Genomic DNA, 14,047 nt, shown 5'->3' on the forward strand with positions numbered 1-14,047 from the left:
TGCTTGTGAATGCACTAATGCCTCAATTGTTATGAAAAGTGCTTATCTGCATAAAGCAGCTCAGAAGATTGGAGGCCAGAATAGATGCATGTTGGACAACAGAAGTCTATACCAAAACTGAATAAGATTCCAAATAGTACAGTCTTTACATTTTGATCTTACTGTAATGTAAACACTTTTCCAAAAATAATTGAAATGGCACTGAAGTATTTCTACTAAAATCAACCACCTAAGGACAGCAGAACAATGATCAAGTCTTCAAAAATAAGGCAGCCTCCAAAATTACAACAGAAATATTGGGCAAACCTACCTTTTATAAAGAAGAATAGCAATGACAATGCAGATGATAAAGACCACTGCAAGGACAGGACCTACAACCCAGATCAAGCCTTCTTCTTCATCCGTGATTGGCTGCGGATCCAGATCCATTGACACCACGGGGTCGGAGTAAGGGCTGGTTGCATACATCTTCTGAGGAAAAGCAGAGTCTATTTCAGTTATAAAATAATGACTTTCTAGATAAGTACCTTTAACATTAGAAGAAGCAAAAAATCCAGGAAATAGTGGATTTAATGATAAGTGTGTGATGCAATATTAGCAAAACAGAGGGGAGGGGAGAGGAGAATAAAGAAAAGAAAGGATGGAAGATGTTTTGTAATACAAATTTCCTTATAGAGTGAACTATTTTATAATAAAATCATTTTGATAGTACAAATTACTTCATAGACACTTTTTATTGGGCTTTCTATATGGTGTATTAAATGATCCTATGAAGCGTAAAGTACCAGTAATTAACCAGTTGCAAAATGTTTAATGAACATTTACATTGTGCCAAGGCGTTAGGTGCTGTGTGAAAATCAAGAGAAAAACTAGAGTTCTAGCCCTCAAGCCATTATCATACAGTTAAGGAGACCAAAGTACATATTTACAATGCAAAATAAGTCAGTATTTAATTAAATGTGAATATCGGTAGTCATTAGTACTACTGTGCTTCTTAGTGCTTGGTACTACTTAATACTACTGCATATTAGTTAGGAAATGGAGGCCAAAGCATGAACAAATAAAGTCTACAATTTCAAAAGAGAATTCCACAGTTCAAATTACAGATGCGAGATGTACAGAATTGATGATATGGCTTTATAAAATATAGAATTTTTAGAACTTAAAAGAATTCAGCAGTTCTCACTTAGTTTTATTACAGTTATTGCTCAGAGATTGGTATGTTTGTTCTCAATAGACAACTGATAATATACTTTTTAAGAATACAGTTACTTGGAGAAGAAATGGACTAAATATCGATGATTTTTATTTCTATGATATCCGATCCCATTTAGTTCTGTCCTATTTTAGCCTATATTAGGAAAACATCTTCTTGGCTCTACCTGCCCCCTTCAAGGCCCTATCTTCCACTTTCCAATCCAACAGAAACTAATCCATATCCACTAACTGCCCTGCTTCTACCACTCACTCCTCATCTCTTCTCACTCCAAACCACCATTGGTCCTATTTTTTTTTTTTTCATTTGCCAAATCTAATTGCCTTTATTTACTCTTTACCTTTCTAGACAATTTTTCCAGATTTGCCTTCTTTAAAACTTTTATCTCTGGCTCTCTCAATTTTGAATTAAACCAGTCCCATCCTCATCTTTCCAACTGCTCATGCCCTGCTGAGTTAATTATCTCTGACTCCATCCTATAGACAAACATTCTTTTTTTAAAAAAATTTTTTTTATAGAGATGGGGTCTCACCATGTTTCCCAGGCTGGTCTCGAACTCCTGGTCTCAAACAATCCTCCAGCCTTGGCCTCCCAAAGTTCTGAGATTATAGGTATGAGCCACTGTGGCTGGCCCTGAACCCGTATTCTTAAGTTCTATTCTCTACTAGCATCTCTTGTCCTCTCTTATCTGGCAAGGTCAGCCCAAGCTTTAACTATCAACCTCCATGCAGAATCTGTCTCTTCATTAATGTTCCTAAACTCAGATACTCTATGAAATCCCAGATCTTCATTTCCAATCATTTCTAGAGACCCCTACATATATGTTCAAATTAGTATGAGTTTCTTAATTTTTCCCAGATCCTTCTTCCCTTCCTCCTCACTTCCCAAATTCTCTCATCCTCTCAGTATCTAAGAATGGATACTGATTTTACCTTACAGAAAAAAGGAATAGAATGGAAACACTGATATTAGCTAATCAGTGTCCCCCAGGTCCATCTGCTCTTCTTCTAGTCTCATGAGTGCCACTTTTCTTTAGGCCCTTACTTATGTGCTCCTAACTATACCAAGAGCTTCTTCCTTCCTCTCATAGTCTCCACTGCTGCTAGAGGTATCATCCTAAACTGCAACTATAAAGCCTTCAAGAGGCTCTCTCTTGATTCCCAAATAAAACGTAGATAACTTAGCATGGTTCTCAAGGGCATCCACAATTTTACTTTAAACTTGCTTACGACACACAACACATTCCATCACAGTGGGCTTCTTGCTACTACTCCCTAAAGGCTCTATTCTTGTTCCTCAACTCCCTCACAAGTTCCACAACATTTAGCTCCTGAAATTGAACAACTCTCCAGGCCCCCACTTGAATACTGCCTCCAATGAAACCACCTCTTTTTAATTGACTGGCAGTGATCGGTCATTCCCCTCTACTAAAAAAACCAAAAAAGATAAAAATAACACAGCTAAATTTTTATTTAGTCCTTGTTTTTTTAAATGGTACTCACCAAACTGTATTTTGGCTTTTTATTTGTATATATACTTCATTTTCTTTGGCGAAACTACAGACTCCTAGAAGGTAGGGATTTATATATTATTTGTGTTTATATGCTTAAAGCAGCTAGCAATGAACCTTGTACTTAGTGGGTTCTCAGCAAATCTTGGCTGAATAAGACAAAAAATGTTCATCTTTTCAAATGGCTGAAATTGTCAAGACATCAGTATATATGCTCACTTTTCATGATTGGTACATATATTTAAATGTTTTAACCTGCATCTTTAAAAAATTTAGTTTATGGCATCTATTCTGAATTTAAGTACAATGAGCTTGGCCATCAAGCAGGAGAACAGATGTTCCACTGAATGCTTGTATACTACTCTTCTCTCTCATTTTCGTCATTGTGCCCAGGAAAGAGACTGACTAGATTTGCAGATTTTCTAACGCATTACAAGAAGATAAAAACTCAGTATATATGTCCAAGCTTCTCAGAGGCAGCCAAAAAAAAAAAAAAAAAAAAAAAAAAGATGTGTATGGTATGAGGATTGACACAAAGGACTTGGCAAAGAACTATATATCTAAGAAACATGATTTTTTATATAATTGTTTTGGTTTATGCTTTACCCACTCCATTTTGTAGGTGATGTTAAAACAGTTTCATAGACAGAACTAGGCAATACTGTCTCATTTGAAATTCTTTACCAAGAACCTTTAAGATAATAATCACGGTCCATTGAGATGGAAGTCTAAGCACAGGTTTTCCCAAAGAACATAGATTTCCAACCCATTCAAGAAACAGAGACATATGAAAATGAAAAGAAAACAAAATCATAAAATGATACCAGCCTAATGAAAAATATAATTTCTTGTGCGTGGCAATAAGAGATTAAATTTTGGATAATTCCAAACCAGTTATCTGACATTCTTAATATGAGACAAAGGATTAGGGGATAGCTTGTGTCTTTGAGAGGGACGGAGAAGTATTTTCTCTTTGCAAATTACCAGTCTACCCTTGGAACATTGTTATAAACTGATATGGAAATTTGAGGCTTACACAAAGGCTTTATTACTGCAAAATGACTCTAGCTGGATACAAGTCTCTCCTAGGCCTGCAAATATTTATGATATATAAAGAAAATAAATATCATAGATATTTGAAAGCAATGCTGAGAAAGATGATAGAATAAAGGGGCAACTTCATTAACAAATTTGGAAAAAATTCTTGATTCTGTAATTAATAAACAGATGACATACTAAAGAAAGGGGCAGACTCTTTATCAGTTGTGACACATTTAAAACACTAGCGGAAGACATCAGAAACCACAGTGTGTAGTTCAGTGGTTCAGTCTGCAGGATCGAATGAGATTTCTCTTCTTTGCTAGATTCTCTGATCTACCTCAATGCTCTAAGTATGCTTTTTGAAATGTTCCTAGAGCTATTAAAAGAAATTTCCTCTCAAATATTTAAAAGTCATTTTTGAATAAAAGAAAAAGATGATTTCTTAACATTCCATTCCCTTGATGTTCTGCCTTAAAACCTTCAACTAGAAAGAGAAAGCATATCTGAACATTAAAATTCCAGGAAGGCCATTACTTTGTTTTCAAATGACATTCTGAGCACAAAGGTAAACCAGGCAGAGAGGCTGCCTTTGTGTTTTGATTTTCCACGGGGGAATTCTTTCAGTCACTTGAAGAGAGGCCCCACTGTACACACTAACACCTGATGTGGAGAAATCTTTGATACATTGTGAGCTGCTTCTATATGGGAAATGACTGGCTCAACTGGGTTGCCACACCTGTCATATTTAGACACCGATTAGAAAACGAAGTTTATAATATGTATATTAAATGTTCATGTGTACTGCCACTTCAAAATTCACCCCCTGCCTATCTACAATATCTCTCCCCTTTTTTTTTTTAAACATTCAAAGTAACTGAAGCATAAAATGACATATAAGCAAGATGGATTACATAAAAGAAGAAAACTCATTATTTAGAATACCTTAGGAATTCTCTCTTTTATTAAATTATTTTCTAACTTTCTTGGCTTTTCACTGATACAGTCACTCATAAATTTCTACAATTAAAGAGGCTGCTGTATTTGCCTCTTTCTAGATAGACCTTCCTCATGAATCCGGGTAGAGGCACTGTGGTCTCACTTGGCAGATATAGGAGAATAAATACAATCACCCCCAAAGTCAGTATTTTCAGAAATATGCCATGTTGAATGGCCAAGCTTGTGAGTTCCCATTGCAATCACAGGGGCTAATGTCAACCAGGTATTATGCAACAGTCTCCTTTTTTGGACAACAGTCATTTTGAAAGGATGATGGAAGGAGATTGTAAGCAATGATGGTTCTAACACCATGATATTTGTGTTACATCAGAAGGTATCAAGAACCATGTCCTATCGATCTGGAACTTCATAAACTAGAGGGCCACCTAAATTTCCTTCATCAGAGACATAGTCTCATTTGTAATGCAGTCTCAAGGAGTATATTGAGCAATGTTCAAAGAGTAGGCAGCCTGTTATTACACTTAATAACAGTTCATGAGAAATAATGAGGATGGATATACCCACAAATCCCCAAATAACCACATTCCAGTGAAAATGTATAAGCGTACCATAGGAAACAGATGCCATCATAATTAACTTACAGACTCTGCATGTTCCATTACTGCTAACACAAAGAAGACATATTCTTGACCACTTTGGAGTTGCTTGTTTGTAAATCCACCATAATGCTTGTCATCCCCCAGGGTGAACTCAGTGGGAAGGACATCAAAGTGAGCGGCAATATATGGCTTTAATTCAACTTCTCTCCCATAACGGATGCTTCTGCGCTTCCTAGATATCTCCTTAAGCAGCTTAAGGAAAAAAGTGGGAAACAGAAAAAGAACTGTAAATAATAACCCAGCTTATTGATAATTTAATGAGATAAATTAATTCAGAACTGGGAACAACCCAAATGCAATTTGTTCACATTTCATATAGCACATCAGCATCACTAAATCTCAGTTCTCTCAATATTTCAAATGCTTCTCTTCCTGTTAAGGTAGAGGTAAGATACTGGACTGCTCTGACAAGGTCTAGGCTATAAACACAGGGCAATGAGGTCCTTTGCTGTAGCTCATTTCATTTCCTACACTAATGAAATTCTCTCAAAGTGCATCATAACTTGTCTAAGGAAAAAAGTCAGCTTGATTCATAAAAGCCTTGCCCTGCAGGAGATTTATTAAATAAGTATTAACCTCAGACAAAGCCATCTAAATCTTTAAATATAGCCACATTTTAGAAGAGGTTAGTGCCACTTTAGATTGTTTTGAGTAATGAGATAACTCATATGATACAAATTCCCTCAAATCAGCAGAAGCAGAATCCAATAAACAATTTTTAATATACACATATTAAATAGACATTGTTACTCATTTACCAATTTCTGACTTGACTTAGCTCCCTGGTTAGGCAATTAGGGTGCACTTCCTTACACTTTATCATGGAGTCAACTTTTTCTAGAATTGACCTCTCTTGGGAGTGTGTATATATTGCCAGATAATATAGGCAAGGTAGATGAAAATTAATTTTAGTACTGCCCTGAAGAAAACACACATGCACATGTATATACAGATGCTTCATGTATTTCTAAAGAAAAGAGATAGAGTTTATTTCTGGATAACCTATTATTTTTCATTGACTCCTTCATTACGAGAAAATCATACTAACAGTGGTTATGAACACTGATTTCAAAGTTACCTTTGACTTCTCCAATTAAAATTGGTATTTCACAGGGTTTAACAAGGGAAAGGTCTGTATTAGTCTGGGATGCCTGTTGATGTAAGCAGCAGTCTTTTCGCCATTTTCTTGGGAAGAATTTTTATTTTATTTATTTTAATATCTATGTATTAATAGAAAAGTCTATGTATTTGAGGACAAACTGGAAAAAGGAATGAACCTTGTCTTCACCTTGATAAACAAAATTAAGATACTTATGGAAACAGTGCAGCAAAACTATTTACTAGCCCTGTTTTTGTAAATAGAAATGATCTAGTAAGAACCAAAGTGTGATCTCTACTTAGTAGAATGAGAGCCTGGCATGATCAAGGCTAGGCTTCTGTGATAAAATGGCTTCAGACTGTATATATGATAAACACTGAATTCTTCCATTAGGAATTTGATCGTACGTTACAGTCCCTCCTACACTGGGAGTAGTAAATGTGTTCAGCTGGTTCAAAATTGTATCCTAAAAATGTAAAAAACCAGTTTTTCAGTTACAGGAAAATTTTGGCCGACATTATTTTTCAATAATATTTAATTTATAACGTGCTAAAATTTTCTGTGAATTTAAGTTTATTGATGCAATTAAAATTACATGAAATGTAAGCTGTTTTAGGAAAACCACGGTAGATTGGGCATCACTTGTTTAGCAAAATTGGACCATCCCATAATAAATTCAGTTATGCTGATCAATTATGCACCAATTGGCCAGTAAAAACACAAGGCCAGAAAGGTAGCACTATCTTTTAATCTTGTTGTCAAATTTAGCTTTACTTATAATACTGATAATTATAACAATAATAGTTTTCATTTATTAAGCAATTACTGAGTGCCAGACACTGTTCTAGGGATCCTAAACATGCATTAGCTCCAATTTACTCCTCGTAATAACCCTATAAGGATGGCTAATATTATCCTCATTTTATAAATGAGGAAACTGAGGCACAATAGAAGAAAGTCTCAATATATAATTAGACTCAATTACTGAAATAAAATGAAATTCCATGTTAGAGATTTTTTCAACTATAATGTAATTTACTTAATGATTACACAATATCATAAGGAAATATAATGTTTAAGCTCTGATACTCTAAATTGTTCTAACTCTGTGTATTTATACATATAATTTTTATGTATCTGCTTACATCAAGGCAGATGAATGTATTATTTCTTTTTTCTTGATTCTTTTCATATGCTAATTAAAAAAAATCCGATACCAAATATTTAATGAAGTATTATAATTGAAGCATCATTACACAGCTTATTGTTGATATGTAGTTAAGGACAGTAGCCTATTACACCAAGAAGGAAAATGCACTGCAGAGGTGCTGAACAGTTTTTGAAGCTGGGTAATCAAAAACATTCATCATGAGTTGTTTATGTGACTGTGTCCCCTCTTCTACTTCACTGATCAAACCCTACCTTGGTTTTATTCATACTGCAGATGTAGTTAATAGTCGCAATTCATCCATATCATTGTCATTCCCACAAGCACTTTCTGCTAGGGTTTCTTTAGAAGACTTATAGGAAGTAATTCACAATAAAATATTTGAGCTTTTGGGTATTCTTAGACCCAATGCAGTCATTCATTAAAGTCAAACCTGGAGCATCACTCTGCCCCTTTAGGTTGCTCTAATCTCTGCAGGATGCTTCCTGTGTTACACGTTAAATGGTTCAAATGGGCTCAGATGACACCAAAGTCAGCCAGCATGTTGCAGTTACAACCACAAATGACCACATTATTTTACAACAAGCCTTTGAAGTACAATGCAGTGAAAAGCTCATGATCTATTACATGACCTGCTCTGAATTAAATATCACTAACATTCTGGGAGTCATTCTGCCCCAAATTCATTTTGACTATCAATGTCTGCTCTACCCAGTTTGACCTTGACAATAGGAGTTTCAGTTTATAAATGTATCATGTGGAGAGCAGCCCGGTAACAAAGGATAAATGAACTCAGAAGATAATTTTGAGAGTAATGCTGTTTGGAAAGCCTCTTTCAATTTCTTATGGGCCTAGATATGAGGTATACGTGTGGAAATCCCCTTAGGCCACCATTCTATTCAATGATATGGTTCCAACAATTTGAATTATAGGCCTTTCTGAAAAATTACTTGATCAAATACATTTAAGAGAGGAACACTGCTTTGTCAAACCTGGCAGTATCAAGCTATAGATAAAATTACTACAGTGCTTTTATTATCCATGGTAGAAAAAAAAAAAAAAAAAAACTCTCTGTAGGGATCAAAAACTGGATGAGTAAGCATAAAGTGAGGCCATAGCCTACTTTCATTTGTTCCCCTCCACAATGGTTACAAGATGTACTGGAGGTAATTCCAGAAGATATATCAAGGGCTTTAGTTCTTTATCAGAAATAATTTTCATTTTCCAGTCAATGCATATCTTATTTCTTCCACCATTAATTCTACAATGTGGTCTCAATTATATCAGTAAGAAAAGTGGGAAACAACCCATCCCGACCCAAAAATTTTGAATTAATAAAATGTTCTTTATCAAACCATTATACAGATTAATGCACCACAACTTGGATGATTAAAATGACCCTTTGTTATGGGAATCAGCAGCGGAGACCCACAGAATTTAATTGCAAGAAAGTTCAAAGTCATATAGCCCTATACTTTAATCCATTAGTGTTGCTGTGCATTTTGGAGGTTAAAACCTGGCTACAAAAGAGAATCACTTTCTATTACTTACTACCAAACGGCTTTACTTCTAAGGAAAGCTTATTAGTTAAAACTATTTGATGTCATTCTGGCTTGGATCTCAGTGCCTTAAAAACTTTTTTTTAATAGGTAGAACAATTCATAGATTCTACAAGTTGCCTTTGCATTTTAAATTCCATTTCAACTTAAACAGGATGATGACACTTCTGTAGTTCAGCTGAGAACCAATTAAAATAGTAAAGAATATATCAAGATTAATTGATTAGTCAGTTGCAAGTAAAATCATGTTTGGCTTCAAAATGCTTAGAAAAGAGCAGCTGATCATTCTGCATTTTCAGTTAAAGGATTACTATTTTCTGAATATCACAGAATAATGATTTTGTTCCTTCACCATCAAAACAAAACAATTAAATTATAACATATCTAAATTACTTGATGACATTATTGAAATAATGTCTCATTTTACACAGCTCCAATGATCATCTAATCACTAGTGACACAAAAGCATAGGCCTAACCTTGAACTCATCTCCTCGTCTGAACACGATCAAATTTAATTCAGATAAATGAAGCCAGTGATCATAAATCCCGCTTCTAGAGATGACACACGTCTGCCAAAGAAAGCTAACAACCTTTCTGGTCAGATCACAGTCTCCTTTGTGCAGACATAGATATGAAATAAGCATCATCTCTCTGTAATGTAGGTAGGGAATTTATTCTTTTCCTTGCTCTGTTTGTACTAATTTGAGGTAGAAGAAATACCTAGAAATAAAAGATTGTACTACAAGATGTGGCCTATGCTATAAATAATCCCAATAAATTAAAATCTCATATTTGCCAAATGGGGGCGTTACGGTTATTTGCCTTATGAACTGATTGAAAACAGCATCATGTTAAAATAACAAAGGCTCTTCTGTATTTTAAAATGTGAATTCTACTCATTAACTTGCTGTGGTCCTCTGGGGATCTAGCTCAACACTTCTGGATCATATTTTCTTGCCTAAATAGAAGTATGTAGTAATTATGTCTTGTTCTTCATGTTATGCATTACCTTTCAAAAATGTCCTTATACAAGAAGAGTACCAATTATAATGCACCTGCTGTTGCAAGATTTTGGAAATCCACGTTATATATTTAGTATTTGTTGTTTCTTATTCTATATATTCTGCTTTGCTCACAATTTTGTCATTTGTTTTCTCTATAGTTAAATGCATTTTTGACTCTGAAAACCTACAGAATATAGAACAAGGCAAACATCTGATAATCAACAGAATTCTGTGAGAAACTGGTTAAGACCATATCGTAGGTCAAATGAACTCTGCTGCAAATTGCAACTTGGTGTTTGTGACAGCCTCAGCAACTGTTGCACTAATGAAGGGGACCTTGGGATTTATACCAATGGTGATTAAGTCTTTGCTGACAATTCACTTCACCTTCCACACCTCTACATCATGTTTTACAAGGAGCAAGGGGCAAAATGTTAAGGCCAACAAAGATTAGACAGGTTGTAAGCTTTATTGCAGCTTAATGTTTTTTAATTAAAGCCAAAGGATCTTTGTTGGGATCCCCAGGGGTTAGCATGCCCATAGCACTGAACCATCCAACCAGCTAGGTATGGAGAAGCCAGCACCCAGATTAGATCCTGAAAGGCCTCCAAGGGAGGGGGGCGGAAATGCAGCAGATTAAATAACGAATAAAAGACATGGCCAACAATGACACAGTTACCTCATCTAATTCCATTTCATCTGGACTCTCCCATGGCTTGATAAATTTCCCGCGAGATTTCTTCAAAGGCACAATTATTATGTAGTAACCTCTGCACAAGAATGAATAGATAAAAGTTAGGTTAGTTGAAAGGAGGAAAACGTGGATATACCCTTAAACCTTCCACAGACCAATGAGGTTGAAGGCAAATTATGGATATGGGGTGACTTGTCCATTTCTTACATCAATGACAAATATCCACCTGTTTGTTCAATTTTAAAAACAACACGGGAAGACATTTATGTGTGATTGCAGTGATCTTGTATGGTAATATCATCATGGTGGACTGCTCTTTATTAGGTATCATAAACAGAGCAGGCATAGTTTGTTAGGGCCCTGGTGCTGGACACATACAAGGCTAGAATACTGCAATCTACCACCACAAGCTGCTGAACCAAATATTTTCTATGACATGAATTTATAAGAAGATGTTTTTAAAAGGAGGATATAGATGAAAAATTTCACTCTTAGCCCACATAAATACCTAGTAGTGCTGTTGTTTATACAAACCTAAAATGCTTTTTATTTGAATTAAAAATTTTTAAGTAACAAAAATTAGGTATAATTGCACAGAGTAAGATATTAAAAATTCCCTTCTTTTTCTACCCATCAAATTGCAAATCTCGAGGTAAGTACCGCAGAAAATTGGAGAAAATCACGACTTAAGGGCCTTCAAAACAGCTATCACTATAATGACATCTATACGAAAAGACAAAAGTAACTGAATACTTACACTGAGAACAGTCAACTAAAATTTAAGGAATGTATAAAGGCACCCATCCACAAATAGGTATGGGTTATTTGTAAAGCTGTTTTGTCACTTCAGTCTAGTATATACTCTGCTTTCATATTCCTGTTTAGGGATTCTGCTCATACTGATCTTTAGTAGTAACTATACAAGGACTTTGAACATACTGTTTAATAATAACATATTAATCACTTCCTACTTCTCAGGTATTATAGTAAATGCATAATCTGGTTTTGTCCTCCTACAGAGAAATTCTCTGAGCAAAGCCTAGGTATAGCCTATAAGGCTACAAGGACTGGTCACAGGCAAAAAGACAGATCTGTAGAGATTAAATAATTGCCAAATTAAAACAGATAGTAATGGGACGCAAAGCTACATTTATCTTAATGGTGGCAGTGGTCTGTCTCTTTTTCTTATTTACTCTATGTGTCATAAAGTATTTTCTAAGGACTCCATACACTTCGTGGAGATTTACTGTGAAAATGAAAACACACACACACGGACCTAAACATACCCCCATACCTTTAAAAGAGGAGGCCACCACACAGGACAAAGAAACAAGAGGAAGGACACTCCCAACCCTGTGTCACACTGAATCACAGAGACCAATCACAGAGACCACAGAGGCCAGCAAGGCCTCTTTCTATTCATCTCAAAGCAAAACCTGTAATAAACTCAGTAAACTCTCTGTGATTAAGAACTCTGTTTCCATTAAGAGTCTAGAGCAGAGCTGTTCAGCATGGTATCCACTAGCCCCTGGGGGCCATCGGGCACTGCCAATGTCACTAGCCCAAACTGGGACGCACTGTAAATGTAAAAGACATATTGCATTTCAAAGACTTAGCATTAAAAAGAGTGTGAAATATCTCAGTAATAATTTTTAAAATAATGATACATTATAAAATAATCTGGATGTATTAGGTTAAATAAAATAAATTATTAAAATTAATTTCACCTGCTTTTTATTTTTTCACTGTTGCTACTAGAAAACTTAAAATGTCACATGTGACTTTCATTATATTTGCTGGACGGCACTGCTCTAGAGCATTCTGGTGAAGAATATGGCACTTGGAGATATGTCTGGCTGGGAGTTTGGGCTGATCTTTGGCTTAGACCCCAGAATCTGTTATATATTCTGAAATACGTGAGTAAAAAATACCAGGCTGTGATATGGGGGGAAATAAACCAGAGGTGCTCAGCACAGTGTGTGTGGCATGTAGCAGTAAACAGATACCAGCTGCTACTGGCTAGTATGAACATCACAGGCCGGAGAGACGCATCTGAACTATCTTATTCAGTAAGACTGCATGAAATTCCGTGAGCTGCAGGTTAAAGAGCTTGTCAAACTTCTTTTCCCCTAATGGAGAATTCAACTCAAACCAGACAACTATACCACAATGCTTTCTCCATGGTGCCCTGAGCAACTAATCAACAGATACACAGGATTACACCAGCTAGCCATTCATTTTCTTTACTACAAACAATCATAATGATCAAGGAGGATGAGGAGAAGGCAGAGGCTTCTCTGCGTATGACAGAGACCAATATCTTTTATGTTATGATCCAGAGTAAGCTTCCCCCTCTCCTGTCCTCCCACCATCTGAAGGATTTACCGAACAAGTCCATCATGTTAAATGAGCATGGAGGAGAATGACAGAGGCTGCAACTGAGCGTACAAAATCACACTGCAGATGTGCTTGATAAACACACTTGTCAAGGAACCTCTTGCTTTTCACTACCAACTTCTCAAAGTCAGAAGAGCGCTACACATAAAGCAATGATACTGCATATTATCAGAGTGCTACCATTGTCCTCCTTCAGAATCTTGTAAATCAAGGTTAAGCTGATGAGTTTCATTAATTTTTTCTTCTGCTTTCATACTTTGAGTTGCCATTCTTGTACATGAAAAAAAAAATCCATTCTTTCTTCGGCAGCACTCCCCCACTATTCATTTTACTTGTGGCTGGGATAAGAATTGAACAGCCTCCCCCACGGCAATTAATTAACGGTGCGGCAAGATATCCACAACCTTTTTTCTCCGCTGATCTCTAAAGCATTCATCTAGGGCAGTCAAAGTGAAGCTTGCTTCAAAGCAGCTCTTGCACATTGAAAGAAATAGGGCAGTGGCAATTTGAAATTCTGTATCATACAAAGCCTCACCTCAGTCTAAATCCACACATTTCAACTGTGCTCTCTGCAACTATAGCTTTGTAAATATCAACTTCCTTGCCTTACCCGCAACCTGTCTCTCCCCTGAGGGTACTGCTTCCTTTGCAGCCTTCTCATATGGCAGCTGTGGATCTATCCCTCCTCCCCTGCCCATGAACCTCAGAGTCAGGGTTTGGGGTTTCTTTCCTGGCTTCCCA

The 14,047-nt window shown here is 36.1% G+C and overlaps 1 protein-coding gene across 55 annotated transcripts in view; it reads right to left on the minus strand.

The window, feature by feature from the left end:
• PTPRD (protein tyrosine phosphatase receptor type D) overlaps positions 1–14,047 on the minus strand; it is a 2,298,757-nt gene that overhangs the window by 145,855 nt on the left and 2,138,855 nt on the right. For 41 of the 55 annotated variants that reach the window (NM_002839.4, XM_017014961.3, XM_047423651.1 and 38 more), the window contains 3 exons: positions 10,895–10,985; positions 5,366–5,575; positions 311–471 (listed from right to left, as the gene is read on the minus strand). In NM_002839.4, the coding sequence (NP_002830.1) occupies positions 311–471; positions 5,366–5,575; positions 10,895–10,985 (462 nt within the window). The remainder of the gene's footprint in view (positions 1–310; positions 472–5,365; positions 5,576–10,894; positions 10,986–14,047) is intronic. The other 14 variants (XM_006716827.5, XM_047423649.1, XM_047423657.1 and 11 more) reach the window with 1 other exon arrangement.

This window comes from Homo sapiens, chromosome 9, assembly GCF_000001405.40.
Source record: "Homo sapiens chromosome 9, GRCh38.p14 Primary Assembly".
Classification (NCBI taxonomy): Eukaryota; Metazoa; Chordata; class Mammalia; order Primates; family Hominidae; genus Homo; species Homo sapiens.